The sequence below is a fragment of the Homo sapiens genome, chromosome 6 (assembly GCF_000001405.40).
Source record: "Homo sapiens chromosome 6, GRCh38.p14 Primary Assembly".
Classification (NCBI taxonomy): domain Eukaryota; kingdom Metazoa; phylum Chordata; class Mammalia; order Primates; family Hominidae; genus Homo; species Homo sapiens.
In genome coordinates, this window is record NC_000006.12 from 1,403,259 (window position 1) to 1,420,463 (window position 17,205).

At 48.6% G+C, this 17,205-nt stretch overlaps 3 annotated features.

Moving 5' to 3' along the window:
- Positions 3,986–4,835: an enhancer, noted in NCBI's record as "H3K4me1 hESC enhancer chr6:1407479-1408328 (GRCh37/hg19 assembly coordinates)". NCBI's record gives its function as "activates a minimal SCP1, AML or CMV promoter by ChIP-STARR-seq in primed H9 embryonic stem cells {active_cell/tissue: H9 hESC(primed)}" and the evidence as "EXISTENCE:reporter gene assay evidence [ECO:0000049][PMID:30033119]".
- Positions 6,910–7,530: an enhancer, noted in NCBI's record as "H3K27ac-H3K4me1 hESC enhancer chr6:1410403-1411023 (GRCh37/hg19 assembly coordinates)". NCBI's record gives its function as "activates a minimal SCP1, AML or CMV promoter by ChIP-STARR-seq in primed H9 embryonic stem cells {active_cell/tissue: H9 hESC(primed)}" and the evidence as "EXISTENCE:reporter gene assay evidence [ECO:0000049][PMID:30033119]".
- Positions 12,551–13,533: an enhancer, noted in NCBI's record as "H3K4me1 hESC enhancer chr6:1416044-1417026 (GRCh37/hg19 assembly coordinates)". NCBI's record gives its function as "activates a minimal SCP1, AML or CMV promoter by ChIP-STARR-seq in naive H9 embryonic stem cells {active_cell/tissue: H9 hESC(naive)}" and the evidence as "EXISTENCE:reporter gene assay evidence [ECO:0000049][PMID:30033119]".

The window sequence follows — 17,205 nt, forward strand, 5'->3', positions numbered from 1 at the left end:
CACACACTCAAATACACACACAAACACACACAAAGACATAGACACCCACATAGACACAGACACACACACTCATATAGACACAGACATACACGCAGACACACACACATGCAGACATAGACACAGACACACATAGGCACAGACACACTCACATAAACACAGACACACTCACACACAGATGTAGACACACACACACAGACATAGATCCACACACACACTCACAGAGGTATAAATACGGACACTAACACACACACTGACACAGACACTCACATAGACACTCACAGATACAGATACACACACTGACACATACACTCACATAGACACTCACAGATACAGATACACACACAGACATACACAAGCAAGGATATAGACAGGCAGACATAAAGACACACAAACACGCTTGCACACAGACATCTAACACAAAGAGACATAGGGACACACACAGACACATATGTTGAGATATGTAGATACACAAAAGCATGCATGCATACACACAGATGCACAGAGCCACACAAACACATAGATACACACAGACACGCAGACACACATAGACATACACACAGAGACCCACACTCACAGACACACACAGACATACATGTAGACATGCAGACATGCAGATACACCGAGACACACACACGCACATGCATACACACACAGCAACATTCAAACACACACACACACACACACTCGCACACAATCTGCTATTCAGTTGTGGGTCTATCTGCAAGCACTAAAGGCTGACATCCCATCACGCCTGCCATCCTCCCAAATCTCCAAATCCACCACAGTGGTTTCATCATCTTCTGAAGTTTCCTTTTTTCTAATCACAACCCTGCTCTAATCCCAGAAACAGGAAGAACTGCCTCTTTTAAATTAAAAGGTTGCTTTTGTTCTCAGAGGCCAACCCAAGCCCCTTGGCCATGGACAAGGCCCCCAGCTGGAACCACAGCACAGGGCAGCATCTCCCAGAACAGGCTAGGGAGGGTGCCTCCTCCAGGAGCCCAGAGCCGAGGCTGGCCAGCTATCTGCGTGGAGTGTGGAGAGGACGTCATGGCTCCAGGAAGCGGTGAGGTCCCAGGGCTCTGACTCAGGCTCTGAACATGGGGTGTCCCCTTGCAATGGTAAGAACAGGGTTTGATCAGCAAGGGCAATCCCTCTTCCTCTTAGATGACCCATCCTTTTCAAGCAAGTCCCCATCCCAAGAGGAATGGGGCAGGTCGCCGGGCTGGGAGTCCTCCACCCGGATGTGAATCTCTGCCAAGGAGCAACTGAGCAGCAGTGCCAAGTAAGGAGGCTGCTCCAGCTTCAGGTCTTCACAGTGGGCACTGGCCGCCAGATCAGTGAAGCCCACAGACAGGCCCCTCCAGGCTATAGGGAAAGCCCTGTTCCTTACTGTGCCCTGGGAATAACACAAGTACACACACTAAAGATAATGTCCCAGAGATGGCTGTGGGCTGTCTCCCGCCCACAGCCCCAGGAGTCCCTTCCAGATAGCAGCCCTGAAGAGGCTATGGCCTAGAAAAGCCATAGGGCATCTGCTAGGTCTGTCCTGCAACGGAGTGCCACAGATTGGGTGATTTACACACAGAAATCTATCATCTCAGTCCTGGAGGCTGGAAGTTCAAGATCCAAGTATCAGCAGGGTTGGTTTCTCCTGAGGCCCTTCTCCTTGACTTGCAGACGGTGTCTTCTCCCTGTGTCCCCACATGCTCTTCCTTGTGTGTGTATCTGTCCTAATCTCCCCTATTTATGGGGACACAGTCATACGGGACCAGAGCCCACCCTAGTGACTTTGTTTTAATTCAGTTTCCTCTGTAAAGACCTTATCTCCAAATGAGGTCACTGGGAGTTAGGACTCCAACATACTTTTTGGGGGAGGTGGGAGTGTGAAGAACATAATTCAACCATAACAGTTATAAATCGAGCTCACAGCTGGACAGAAATATACTTGATTTCTGGGTCCACAACCCCAGGCCTTCTCCCCTGCCCTAGTAAGCTCCAGATTAAATAGGCTCTCAGAGAGCCAGACCAGCGAGGCCCATCCCTTCTCTCCATCTGTGCCTTGAGCATGGAGTGGCTTGGAAGCTAGATTTTATTTCCTGCAGAGAGAAAACGCTAGAGCCAGCACGCAAATGAGCTCTAGCCCCCAGCGGGACTGCATTCTTTTGGGGAGGGCAAAGCCTATAGTTATGGACTCCACAAGTCCCTGGGAGAGGCAGCAGTGCCCCTGAAACTGCATCAGACACTGTCTCTGCATCAAGGCACACACCTCTCAAAAAAAAGGAAGAAGACAGGACAAAGATTTTTTTCCCCTTTTTGAACTTGGATGAGCTAGCATCGTTGCACAGTACAAACGCTGGGCATTCACAGAGGCAGCTCTCTGTGGGCCCCGGGTCTCTGCTAGCCATCTGTGAGTGGGATCTTGAAGAGTCTTAGGAGGCAAGTATTTCTAAACCCACTTCCTAGAGGAGCAAGATCATTCGCAGTCACATACCTGGTAACTGGGACAGCTGAAACCCCAACCCAACTCCATCGGACTCCACACATCAGAATCGGGCTGGTCTGTGAAAGGATGGGGGAGGCTTCCTGGCAGGATCTGTGTACCCCTTGAGCTTGACAATTGGTAAGATACACTCTGGGTGTAAGATACAGGGTGTTTGTCCACTAAGTTCATGAACAGCCCAAGACACAGCCCACACTGGAGTAGATGTCATCCATTAATCCCCTAACAATGGAACTGACCCTTGGCTGGGCACAGTGGCTCACGCCTGTAATCCCAGCACTTTGGGAGGCTGAGGCAGGGGGATCATTTGAGGTCAGGAGTTCGAGACCAGCCCGGCCAACATGGTAAAACCCTGTCTCTACTAAAAATACAAAAATTAGCTGGGTGTGGTGGTGGACGCCTGAGGTCCCAGCTACTCGGGAGGCTGAGGCAGGAAAATCTCTTAAACCCAGGAGGCGGAGGTTGCAGTGAGCCGAGATCACACCACTGCACTCCAGCCTGGGCAACAGACTGAGACATCATCTCAAAAAAAAAAGAATGCAACAGACCCCAGCGTCTGAGGAGGCTGGGCAAAGGCAGCCTGCATGGCCTCCAGGACTCCCACCCTTTCCACTGAGGTCCCATGGGAGAGAACCAGCTGCTCTGAGAGCCCGCGGGCCGTGTCTCCATCAGCTTAACCCCAAATGAGAACCAGGTGTGTCCAGGCCCAGTCTTGGCTCCCCGGGAGTGAGGCGGGAGGGATGGGAGCTCAGGCCCGGCCCTCAGAGGCCAACTTCCCACCCAGGGCACAGGGGAGGAGGAAAGCAGGAATCCCCAGGCAGAGATCTGGCTCGGCAGGAGGAGGCTTGGTAAGAAGGGAGATTCCGGGGTGCATGGAGAGGAGGAGGACCTGCCCTCAGAGTTCAAAACCAGAGTCTGGCCCAGACTCCCTTACACAGCACTCAAGCCCCTCTCCCACAGGGAGGGTGGGGGTGCCATTGCCGTATTACCCCCAGGGAACTGAACCAGGCTTGGGGAGGCAAAATCTGTGAGGCCCGCTGGAGATGGGGACTGCAGTTTTCCCGCACTGCCCTCTGGCTTTCACCCAGGCATTCTCTCGATGGCCCTTGCAAGACTCTTTTTCTCAGTCCCTAGCAGAGGCTGAGTCATTGAGGGGTTTTAATTTGGAAAGCAAGATTACAAAAGAGAGAAAGAAACCACAATTCTATTCACAATTATGTGCAGAACAAGGCCAGAGTTACAACTTTCCTTTTCCTTCCCCAAATTCAGTGCTGACATTAGATGAGGCTTTTCAGAATTTTGGAGCAGGCTGTAGTCTTATGGAACAGACAAGAGGTGGCTCTGGGGTTGGGGGATGAGGTGGGAAGGATGGTTTGATTCTAGTACTTTTATTTCTGTCACCATCCAAAGCCCACATGAAAATGTTAAGTCTGATTAAACTGTTGGGTGCAGGAGAGAGCATGAAGGGCCTTTTTAGAATAAATGAGAGTACAAGGATGCTCTCTGAGAAATAGCCGTGAAAAACCTGAAAGGAAGTGTTTCCAGGTCAAAAAGAACTCATATGACCCATGGAAACCCTTGAGGCCCAACCAGTTTATTGTGGATGCTGGAGGAGGGTGGGGGACACTCAGGGAACTGTGACTTGAAGACACCTTGCATTCCTGACTTTGCTATATTTAAAAGCAGTCTCCCAGTCTGAGGGCAGCAGCCCAGCACAGTGGCAGCCACCAGCTCTGTTTTCCTGTCTTCCCTATTCGTCCTCTGCAAAGCCAAGCTGCCTCTGTCACTGTTGTTTGATATTTCCAAATCTGGCCTGAAGCAGATGATGGGGCCGCAGGAGGAGCGTCCTTCAGGGTGTCTTGTTTGGTTTGGAAATATTTAAATGTCTGCTGCATTTCCTCCAAGAGAGGAGAAGCCAGGGCCTGTGGGAGAGCCCAGGACCGTGGCCACAGCCCTGCAGGGTCCCCAGCTCCTCTGCGGCTGCCTCCCTGGGACCGGATCCCCAGTGCCCCCCACCCACACTCCCACCGTCAGCACCATGAGAAAGTCAAGATGAGCCCAGACATTCTCCACCACGTGTTTACAGTCAAGTGACTCAGCTCTGCCCTCGATTTAAGCCCATGCAGCAATTGTCCATGATTACAGAAAACTTCTTGGCTCCTGGAAAGATCGCCAGCACGTTATTAACCTCAGAGGCCAGACACATGTTTTCCATGATTTATTTAAATGCTAGTGGCCACCACAGATGATCACGGCCTTTTGGAATAAAGGGCGTGTAATTAAGACATAATCTCTTCTGTTTTGTAATATATGGAGCAGTAAATGGCTACTGAGGTTGATTAAATTCTCCATCTTCCCTTTGGCGCTTGGGAACTGCCAGAGCTGTTGGAATCCCAATCGTGGCTGTGACCACTTCATAGCACATGGCAGTGTGGTCGAACAGCCAAAGGCTGTCCTTCGGGGACCTGGGCGCCTGATGTGGGTGGATCTGAGATTTACAATAGCACTCACCTGGGAGTGCAGCTGCCTTGACGGGGCAAGGGAAAGCAGGGAGGGACAGTGATTCACTGGTAGGGGGTGGGCTTTGTACAGGCAAAAGACTGAGCAGGGCAAGGGCGTGCCGTCAAAGGAGATTGAACCGTGTAAACGCACAGCTCCCCATCAACGCTTCCTGCGTCGGGCTCAAGCCAGCGTTGTGGAAAAAAAGCATAGCATGGTTTTTTCACGTTGTCAAGAGCGTTCTGAGGCCTGCCCTTGACACTTGGCCGGGCGCAGTGGCTCACGCCTGTAATCCCAGCACTTTGGGAGGCCGAGGCAGGTGGATCACGAGTTCAGCAGATCAAGACGATCTTGGCTAACACGGTGAAATCCCGTCTCTACTAAAAATACAAAAAAATTAGCCGGGCGTGGTGGCGGGCGCCTGTAGTCCCAGCTACTCAGGAGGCTGAGGCAGGAGAATGGCATGAACACCCGGGAGACAGAGGTTGCAGTGAGCGGAGATCATGCCCCACTGCACCCCAGCTTGGGTGACAGAGCAAGACTCCATCAAAAAAAAAACAAAACTGAACACTTTTCACTTTGGACCTCTCCATTGTGAGGGAAGATCCAACAGCTGCACATTTATCTGTGCAGAGTCGAGAGGTGGGCTGTGGCCGATCATCTGAGGGTGTGGATTTGCTATTTTTTGGCAAATTTGAGTCTACGTACTGAGGTTCCTGCCAGAGAATAGAATCTTAAGCTCTGCTGCCTGGGTCTTATCACAAAGCTGATTTTTAAGAAATATTGTAACATCCATGAAAGAGTATCCAAAGACATGTACCATCTATTCAAAATCCTGTCTGTAGCTCCCAAGCCCACAAAAGGGCCAAGTACTCAGGGAAGAATTTTTGGTGGACACAGTTACCCCCTCTGAGTCCAACCTGGGCCTGAGCCTGAGCCCACGTTGAGAGACATTACAGAGATGGCTATCTGATGCTCACTGGCATATTGGAGGAGGCCTAGTCATCTCTACAATGTCCCCGTGTGCGCCCTTAGGCACCAGGTCCTGTGCGTCTCCCTCGCCCCCGACTTCCTCTCTGCTGTTAAATGTATCTCCGCAAGCTGCCTCAACCTTCTTTCTTTTTTTTCCCTCCTTATCTTAGAAAGCTTGTGTGTCAGTCTTTAATTTTTTCAATTTGTTATTTTATGTTTGAAATTGTATCCTATTTTTAATAAATACATGCATATTGTAGATATGCAATGGTTTATATGCACGAACACGGAGAGTGAAATCAAATCTCCCTTCCTCCATCACAGAGGCAATCTATTTTGTCTCTTGTGATTCCTTCTGAGATTCTACAGGTATACAAGCCTATATACGTAAATGAATTTAACTTCTTTATTCTTTCCTTTTTTACTCTGATGCACTTACTGATAAGGCCTTAGATGCCTTATTGAAAAGAGCCGTGAATTTTCTTGAATACACACAGCATACACAGATCGCTTCTGCCTGTCTAGAAATGGTTAACACTCTTTCTGCTGAACTGTTACCCAAACAAGATTCCAACTCTAAAAGAAAGGAGAGGAACATGAAGCAAAGGAAGCCCCATGGCCCCCGGAGCCTCCCACGGTTGCAGATCACAAAAGCAATTGCCTCTCTGAAAGCGTGGTGGTTTTGAATAGGAGCAGAGGAAGCGCAAGGACACTGGCAGCCTGGTGTGTTCCCTCGGGCTGCCCCCCTTTCGGCCTCGGGCCCCTTAGAGCAGAGCAGAGATCTGTGCAGCCCCCGTCCATGCGGTGGAAGGGGAATGCACCATGGGAGGGAAACCTCAAGTCATGGGTTTTGGAGCTTCAAACACGATCTCTGTGGCTTTGGGTTTTCTTACGAGAATCAGAGAAATAAATACACTTTATTTATATGCAGATGCAGAAACCATTGAACTGCGTTAGAAAATGGCAATCTCCGGAGGGTGTGGGAGGGGAGGCAACAGCACGGCCTGTGTGCCCAGGGTGCCAGCGGAGCCCCGAGTCATCACGGTGACTGTTCCAGGAGCGCGTCAGCAGCCCTCACTCTACCCTTTGAGAAGATAACAAGCAAATCGGCCCAGGTTTGAGGAGAGAAGAGCTTCAAGTCTCCTAGCCTGGGCGGCCAAGGCACCCAGGTCTCAGGAAAGTCGACTGCCTGGAAGTGGAGATAGGACCCTGTTGTCTAACCTGGGGGGCTTGTGCTTGGCTGAAAACAGGTGGTTCCCATGTCGGAGCTGATGGGGAGCGGATGGGGGTAGGAGTGCGAAGAACCCAAGCCCTCCAACATGGTAGCCATTCGCACACATTATCTCATTCGGGCTTCCCTCACCCTTCTCAGATAGGGCTCGTGGTATTTACATTTTTTAAAAAAAGGAAATGAGGTGGCCGGGCGCGGTGGCTCACGCCTGTAATCCCAGCATTTTGGGAGGCCGAGGCGGGCGGATCACAAGGTCAGGAGATCGAGACCATCCTGGCTAACACGGTGAAACCCTGTCTCTACTAAAAATACAAAAAATTAGTCGGGTGTGGTGGTGGGCGCCTGTAGTCCCAGCTACTCAGGAGGCTGAGGCAGGAGAATCACTTGAACCCAGGAGGCAGAGGTCACAGTGAGCTGAGATCGCGCCATTGCACTCCAGCCTGGCGACAGAGCGAGACTCCGCCTCTAAATAAATAAATAAATAAATAAATAAATAAATAAATAAAAAATGGAAATGAGGCTAAGAAAGATGAAGGAACTTGCCCAGAAGAGATAGGGTTGGTTCCCAAAGGAACAGGAGAGGGAAGCATGTTCCATGCTTTGATTTTGAAAGTGAGTCCCTGCCCTTCAGGGATCCAGAGAGGAAACACAGTTTTTCAGACTTCCAAGTCCCTTTGGAGATCTTTGATGAAAAATTCTGAACCGTTCCGGCAAAATCAAAAGATCTCAGAGGGTTGACAACAGCAGTTCTCAACTGGGATGGTTTTGCCCACCAGGGGACATTTGGCAATGCTGAGACAGTTTTGACTGTGGCACTGCAGAAGAGGGTGGTTGCTACTGGCATCTTGGATCTAAAGGCCAGGGATGTTGCTAAACATCCCCCGGTGCACAGGACAGCCATAAAAACAATAGTTTGCCCAAAACGGCATAGAGGTTGGCAGAGGTAGAGAAGCTCTGGTTTATGGCCATTAAAAAGTCAAATCTTATAACTGTTTCAACACATTTTAAGAAGTGTTGACCAAGCAAGGTGGCTTATACCTATTGTCCCAGCACTTTGGGAGGTTGAGGCAAGAGGATTCCTTAAGCCCAGGAGTTCAAGACCAGCCTGGGCAACATAGTGAGACTCTTGTCTCTACAAAAATAAAAATAAAAAAAGTAGTTGGGCATGGTAGCACATGCCTGTAGTCCCAGCTACTCCAGGTAGGGAAGATGCTGAGGTGGGAGGATCACTAGAGCCAGGGAGGTCAAGGCTGCAGTGAGCAGTGATCGAGCCACTGCACTCCAGCCTGAGTGACAGAGTAAGACCTTGTCTCAAAAAAAAAAAAAATTTTTTTTTTTTTTTTTTAAAGAAGTGCTGTAGGCTGGGCGTGGTGGCTCATGCCTGTAATCCCAGAACTTTGGGAGGCAGACACAAGAGAATTGTTTGAGGCCAGGAGTTCGAGACCAGCCTGGGCAACACAGTGAGACCCCATTTCTAAAAAAAGAAAATTAAAATTAGCTGGGCATGGTGGCACACACCTGTAGTCCTAGCTACTTAGAAGGCTGAGATGGGAGGATTGCTTGTGCCTGGGAGGTCAAGCTGCAGTGAGCTATGATCATGCCACTGCACTCCAGACTGGACGACAGAGCAAGCCCCTGTCTCAAAAAAAAAAAAAAATTATAAATCTTTAAGGAGAAAATGCATCCTGTGTCCACCTTGGATTCCATGAATTAAATTTCCTGTGTCTCTTGGTGAAAGGTGTGCTCCTGCCAGCTCCTGTCATTGGAGACCTTATTGCCCAAATAAGTATATTCTCAGTGACATCTACCTACAGAAAAAAAAAAATCCTTGTTTTGCTACAAATGTGTACCACATGCCAACAGTGGAGTTCCACGTGAATATGGATGCCAGCTGGCCATGATCTGAGCCATTCAGCAAGAGAAGCGATGGGAGACCCGCATGACAGGGCACTGCTCCTGTGGGAAGCATGCCGACTTCAAAACACTGAAAACTCCAATGATAGCAATTGTTTGGGACTCGATGAAATGATGTTTCCAGAGCTCTCTGGGTTTACTGTACATTTTGACATCACTTCCCCATGGCAGCTAGTTTATCGTCATTCCACATCCATCCCAGACGCAGATGCTGCTCCAGGTGAACAAACCCACAGGGACTCAGGAGGAATCCCAGCAAGTGACGGCTCATCCTGCCCCAGATGAAAAAGGAGATGTTCGTAACGCAGCTGCTTCCCACCTCGCACTTCGGGGCATTCTTACATCTGGCAACGCTAGAAGCCGCAAGTCAAACACAGAATAACTCAACTAGCTCACAAAGAAATGACCAAGAAAGCCTCTGGCAATGTAATCACTACCTTTTCGCTCCTCTTCCTCTCACTGTTCCATTCTAAAATTTTCACAGATTCTCAAAGTGCAATTTGACTAAGAAGGATATACACAGACTAATCCTTAAGGCAACAACATAAGCTTCTCCAAAGCTATTTTTCTTTAATGTTATAAAAATTTTTGAAACAACGTTAAATAAAATCTGGAAAAAAAAAAAAAAAAACCTAGATCACCCCTAATCCCACATTTCCGGGAATTTAAACAGGAGACTTGGAAGGAGCAAGGAGCGGGAGGTGGGCCTGCAAAGCACAGCAGGCCCGGCCGACGCAGCTCCCTCCGTCACAGCCTGCTGTGGACATGCAGGGTAACTACAAAAATTTTCCAGCAGTCTAGATTCTTATGCAAAATCTCCTGCTTTTTAAATATTGGCTCATAGTTTATAAGCACCGTGCCAGCTAATTAAAACACATCTGCAGATTGGATACAAATGACAGGCCACCGTTTGAAACCCTTCATATATAATTTTGCATCCAAACAAGAGTGAACAGAAGAAATTGATGTGACTCTATATATTTTACACTTTTAATAATCAGAGCATATTTGAAGAAACATTCTCAAGAATCTTAATGGGTTTCAGCTTTTGAACATATTAAGAGGATACTGAAGTAATAATGTAGCTAAAGAAAAGATGTTCGTGAATCAAAACTCCTTACTACGTATTTTTACCAGGAAAACATGTCTCGATCCACCATAGATACATGCACAGAATTATAAATTTATCTTTAACAAGAGGACCTACTAGAAATGCAAATGTATATTAGCCGAGGGTGAAATTGAGAAGATTCTTGGGCAAGCATGAAGTCACTATAACACTATAGGGTAGGGATCCTGGTGCAAACACAACTGAAAAGAATACCTTTGAAGATTATTAGATTATGAGGAATAACAAAAATCCCCTTTCAATGCTCAAGACACAGGAATTAAGTTGTAGCCCATTTCAGAAGTGAATGTAACTATCAAGTAACTGTGTTGCACACTCACTTCTGCAAAGAGATTTCATTTTCACTGCAGGGGAACAAGCTTGGCCATTTCAGGCACACACAGCAGAGGGTATCTGCCATAGCATGGAGTTCTAAGTTTATTTGTTCATAACTCAGGTTCACTCAGAAACTACTGTTTACCTGCTCATTACTCTTTGTGCATCCTTGATGTTTTAAACCCAGGGAATATAGAGATGAACACAATAGATAGGGCACGTGATCTGGCAGAGAAGAAGTGAAATAAAGACAAGTGTCCAAATACTTGGATAAGTCTGAAAAAGTGGTAAGTGCAAAGAAGGCACCAAGCAACCTATAGAAATGCCTATGCATCTGTCTGCACAAGCAGCCTAGAAATAAGTGGAAAAAAAAAAAATCAGGACAACCAACCATGGGGGCTGGCACTGTGACGTGCACCACTCCACAGCCCAGGACTCCCGTCTGTGGCAGTAAAGGCAGACGGTTTCTTCAGCGGGAGAGCCTTGAGAGTATGAAGGTAAGTGCCTCATTGTTAATTATTTACATGCTGCCATTAAAATCAATTACTCCATTTGAAAGAAGCCACTCATAACCACATCAAAACAGATTCAGGATACCCTAATCAGAGGATATCAGCGACCATCCCTTCCCGTAGCAATGACATTGCAGGTTGAGGGTGAAGAGGCAGAGTGACCATGACTCTTGCTGCTGGGCCGGTTAAGTCCCAACAGAGACTGGTATTTTAGAATAGACAGCTAGTCCTGAGCGGGCCTTGGAGGTCATCCCCCACCCCCAAACTCTAGGATGAGGCAACCTCCATCCAACCCCGATGATTAAGTACCTGTTCTCCTGAGGCAATTCCCTCTTGAGCTTATGATCTATCATCACCAGGATGATTTGCTATTGAAGACACACGGACAGCTAACCCTTGAATGTAAAACAGGAGCATACTCAAATAGAGATTTATTTTTGTGTCCTCCTGTGCATGCTTTGAGCTGGGGATAGTCAATGAGGTGCTACCGAGTGTTGGGCCATAAAGCCTCCTCACGCTAACTCCAGGCATGTGAAGGACTGAAACGTGAAGCTCTTTCTGTAATTCCCCTCCTTCTTCTTCATGAATGGAGGCGAGAATTAGGCTGTGTGGTTTTCACAGCCAATGCTGATCTTAAACAAGAATCTGGCTGTTTCCTCCCCGGGCTGTTTCCTGGCCAGTCACAATATGATCCTAACAGGGCTGCCAGAGACCATGCAGATGACCGCTTCTCAGGGGCTCCTTCCCCACAGCCACAGCACAGCTATGGAGCTATAAGAAAGCTGAGGACACAGCAGCTGAACATCGGCAACATTCGAGTCCCTTCCATGAAGCTAGAGAGAGGTGGCATCCATGACAGGAAAAACCCAGGCGCTGAAGACTGAAGACTTGACTGTCCCTATTCCTCACCATACCATGGGGACAAAACAGACCAGAGAAGATTCAAGAAGACACTTCAGGCCAGGTGCTCCTAACCACTCCCGTTACACGGCAAATGCCCGATGCGTTGGGCCGTGAAGACCATTCCTACTCAGCCCTCCCTGGCTAATCACTTCATTTTTCTGAGTCTTTCTTCATTAAAAGCAAAGACATTGGGCCAGGTCCTCTCTAAATGTCTTCCTGGCTCTAAAACTCTATAACTTGAGGACAAGAGCCTATTTCAAGGGCTTTCAGAACAGAAATCTCTTTTGAAATTGCAGAGGCCCAATTCCCCGCGAGGATCTCAAGCTGCAGAATGAAATGGGCGAGTGTGATTCAAACAAACTCATGGGATGCCAGGATCTAGCACAACCCCTGACTCATGTGGGCGCATAAAGCATCTCAGCCAACTCAGATCACAGAAAGCATCTACTGGTCCTACATTCACCAGGCAAGAAAAATGAGTAATTCGTAATTTGTCACACTTACATAAATAATCGTTTTTACTTTTATAATCGTTGCCATACTCTAACACATGCTAGATACCACAGTGAGTGATTTATATATGTTTTCTTGAATCCTTCCGATAATTACATCAAGCAGATTTTTATAGATAGGGAAACAAGGCTCAGAAAGGGCAAGTGACTTGCCCAAGGTCACACAGCTATTACCTTCATGCTCAGTAGTGCAGCCTGGATTTGCACCCACGTCTGCAGGCTCCAAAGTCACTCTCTTTTCACCATGTCACGGGTCTCAAGGGTCTGTTGAATGTTTTTACAGGAGGAATTTTTACTAAAGTTCACAAAACAACAATGCACTAGCCACTTTCATCAGTCGCTTCCCAGGAGTGGGTGTGGGTGACGGGGACCTTGTGCCATGAGCCGCACGGGCTGACCCATCACATGGAGGCAGCCGTGGTCAGCAGGGAGACACAGCCCCTGGGGGAGTCATCACCCATGAAGGTGAACAGGGAGGCTGTTGATGCTGACTGCAGTGAGGAAAAGCCACTCTCAAATTTCTACCCCATGCAATTTCTCATGGTTGGAAAAACCAAGGCTGCCAGTACCATCCACCACCAAGGAGGAAAGAGCCCGAGGCCTGTGAGGCTGGGCCACCCACAGGATGGCCTAATCAGGACCAGGCTTCCCAGCACGGAGGACACGGGGGCGCCTGACAAAGAAATCACCTCTGTGAAATGCCTTCCACGCCTCCCCTCTGAGCCGAAGCCCAAGGCAACCCCAGGAGCAGGGAGCGAGCTGCTGGGGGAATGCACCGGGGCGCCGCCTGCGGGGAGCTGCTGGGGGAATGCACGGGGCGCCGCCCCGGAGGCCTGCAGGTAACTCCCACCAGAGGCACAGAGCGCAGCCTTAGCCCCTACAGTCAGAGTCTCGCTTTCGGCCAGGCCAGGTGGATCTCACGCCTGTAATCTCAGCCCTTTGGGAGGCGGAAGTGGGCAGATCACTTGAGGCCAGAGTTCAAGACGAGCCTGGTCAACATGGTGAAATCCCATCTCTAGTAAAAAAACAAACAACAACAAAAACAAACAAACAAAAATCTTGCTTTTCTTCCCCCGTGCTAACCTCTGGCTCTGCACTGCTGTCACTCCACTCTCCCGGCCCAAGGTCATTATTCGACTCTTCTATAAACTCCTAAATGACCAGATCTTTACAGAACACCCACTGTGTCCCTGTCAGGGCTTCCGCCCCCTGAGGAGGTGTCCCCTAGCTGGGTCTTTCAGGGGAAGTGACAGAGGCTCAGAGAGGCAGCGAATTTGCCCAGGGCCACAAAGCAAGCGAGTGGCAGGACTGGGCATCTAGCCCATGACCGTGGGCCACGTCTGGCTGTCTCTCTTCTAGACCAAGGGAGAACAGACCCAAACACACGAAAAGCTAAACAATAGAAAGGACAATTCTAACAGGCCGAGGCCTGGCCTAGTGCTCCCCAAGAGTCCTGTGAGGCTGGGCGCCCAGCAGCAGATGGGACTCAGGGACTGGGGTGCCAGCGGGCATTGGAACAGTTTGCTTTTTAGAGAAGGAGCCTCTATCTTGCTTTTTGGGCCCCTTGGTCTTGCGGACAAAGTCCTGTTGCTCTGAGTTGGAGAATGCACAGGTGTTCCTTCTCCCGGCTACCTCCCGCCTGCTGTGCTTCCCTTCCAGGACCACTGCTGGGTCTGCCTCCAGTGCCCTGCCCCACCTGTTTCCCTCAATGTGGCCTCTCATGTCCTCAGAGGCTCAAATACCCGGCGTCTCTGCCTTCTTGGGGGGCCTCCGTGATCCCACTCTCCCTGTGCGCATCCTCCTCCCCTACCTTGCCGTCATTCGTCACAGCAGCCTCCTGTCTCTTCTCGCACTCCTCACCTCCAGCCACGCACGCGCGTTTCCCTTGGAAACTTCCTTCACACACCCAAACCTCCATGTCCCAGCTCCAACTGCATTGCAGACGTGATGTGCCTCACACAGGTGAGTGTGGAAATGCCCCCTAACCGTCTCTTCTGTGCTGATTCGATCTCACTTAGACCGTTAGGTAATTTGATTACAGAGATTTTGTGTGTGTGTGTGTGTGTGTGTGTTTTTATTATTATTATTATTTTGGTAGAGACAGGGGTCTCGCTTTGTTGCTCAGGCTGGTCTCAAAATCCCGCCTCGAACGATCCTCCGACTATTACGTAATTTGATTGCAGAGATTTTGTGTGTGTCGTTTTTTGTTTGGTTGTTTGTTTGTTTTTTGAGATGGATTCTTGCTCTGTCTCTCAGCCTGGAGTGCAATGGCACAATCTCGGCTCACTGCAAACTCCATCCTCCAGGTTCAAGCAATTCTCCTGCCTCAGCCTCCAGAGTAGCTGGGATTACAGGCACCTGCCACCACGCCCAGCTAATTTTCTATTTTTAGTAGATACCGGGTTTTGCCATGTTGGCCAGGCTGGTCTCAAACTCCTGACCTCAGGTGATCCGCCCGCCTTGGCCTCCCAAAGTGCTGGGATTACAGGCGGGAGCCACCATACCCAGCCGTTTTTTTTTTTTTTTTTTTTTTTGGTAGAGACAGTGGTGTCACTTTGTTGCCCAGGCTGGTCTTAACTCCTGCCTCAAGGAATCCTCTGGCCTCACCTCCCAAAGTACTGGGATTATAGGTGTGAGCCAGCATGCCAGGCCTTGTGTTTTATATGTTTTAACAATTCCTCCATGGTGCTCAGTGCCTAGTAACTACAACTAACTAGTAGGCAATTATGTCAGGCTGCCCTGAGCCAGTTTCTACCAAATTCTGTCCTCACATACACACACATTGATTAGCCAGTCTTCCTGTAGATTGATGAGGTCCCTGCGTTCTGCCCTTCCAGACATGTGAGCTGGCACCATGAAGGGAAGGACGCTCTGAGGCCTGGCAGCACATGGACTAACTCTCCAGCGGCATCCGGAATCCCTGTGAGGCTGGGGGTCTCGGGACGCCCGGGCCAGCCAGAGGCTAGGCTGGGAGTGCTCTTGCCAGGTGTGAGGCCCCGGGCTCGCCTCGTGCTCTGTCCTTTCTGCTGCCCATAGGACTTTTGTGGTTAACACGCACTTGACCACCATTCAATTGACCAGGGAAACTAGTTTTTAACAATCTTTATTGCTAAATAACAAGCTCTCAGGCGCAGATGTAGATGGTGCCGTTTGAAAGGCTTGCTGTAGAACAGGACCATGCAAGGTTTTTCTGTGAAGAATCAGCTAGTGAGGAGTTTCGCTTTGCAGGACATGTGGTCTGTGTTGCAACCAGCCAACTTTACCACTGCGGAGGAAAAGCAGTCTTAGACAATATGTAAATAATTGGCCTGTTTGCATTCCAACAAAATGCTGTTTACAAAAGTGGGCCTGCCAGCCCTGCTCTAGAGGGTAGATTCTTGATTGAGATCCTTCCAAAGTGAACCAATGCAAACTGCTGATTAGGGCACTTCAAATGTTGACTATCAGCCCTAGAGTGTAGCTTTCAGGTATCTATACCTACATATCACAATGGGAATACTGCAGAATACTGAATAAACAACAGACAATACTATGGTGACAGAATATTAATAGATGCCATTTATTGAGTATTTACTATATGCTAGCTGAAGCACTGTAGGGGACTTGCTGTTTTAAACTGCTCAGCAAGCTAGGCGCGGTGGTTCATGCCTGCAATCCCAGTACTTTGGGAGGCTGAGGCAGGAAGGATCCTTTGAGCCAGGAGTTCAAGGTTGCAGTGACGGAGCCACTGCACTTCAACCTGGCTGGCAGCGTGGGACTTTGTTTCCTAAAAATAAAAAAATTGAAATAGTAATTAAAAAATAAACTGCACACCAATTGCACAATAATAGTAGTACCTGAAATAGGTGCTATTATTATTATTCCTACTTTACAGATGACAAAACTGAGGCTTAGGTGAGGACAACTGGCTTGCCCAGCATTGAAGAGTCAGGAGGGGTCACACTGGACAGATGGGCTCCAAGTCCACACTCAGGCTGCCCCCATTGGCAAATGAAAACCAGAGTCTTCATCTGTCCCGCCCCACACCTGCTGTGGGACTCTGGGCATATCATGCTGAATCTCAGTCTCCTCATCTCCAAAATGGGGGTGATGATTGCTCCTTTTGGGAGCTTTCGAGTGTATTATACAATACATGTGAAAATGTCCACCACAAAGCCAGGCAGTTGGTGTCAAGTACAAGCGAACTGAAATGTAACAGGTTTGCTGAAATATACAGTCAGCCCCCCTTATCCGTGGTTTCAATTACCCATGGTCAGCCACAGCCTGAAAATAGGTGAGTACAGTACAATAAGCTGTTGTTGGGGGGAGTGGGGAGAGACCATATGCATGTAACTTTTATTGCAGTATGTTGTTATAACTGTTCTATTTTATTGAGTAGTTGTTAATCTCTTGCTATGCCTAATTTATAAATTAAATTGTATCATAGGTATGTATCACAAAAAACATAGTATATATAGGGTCCTGTACTATCCTCAGTTTCAGGCGTCCACTAGGGGTTTTGGAACATGTCCCGATGGATGAGAGGGACCTACTGTAATCACCTACCAGAGAAAGTATCTAACTCAGTGATTGTTAGTATTTTCAGAATTCTGCAACCATAACCACAATCAATTTTAGAACACCATCATCACCCCAAAAGTGTTCCCTTTAACAGTGACTCCCCAGATCACCCCAACATCTCAACCCCAGCCCCAGGCAACACTTTCTGTCTCTGTGGA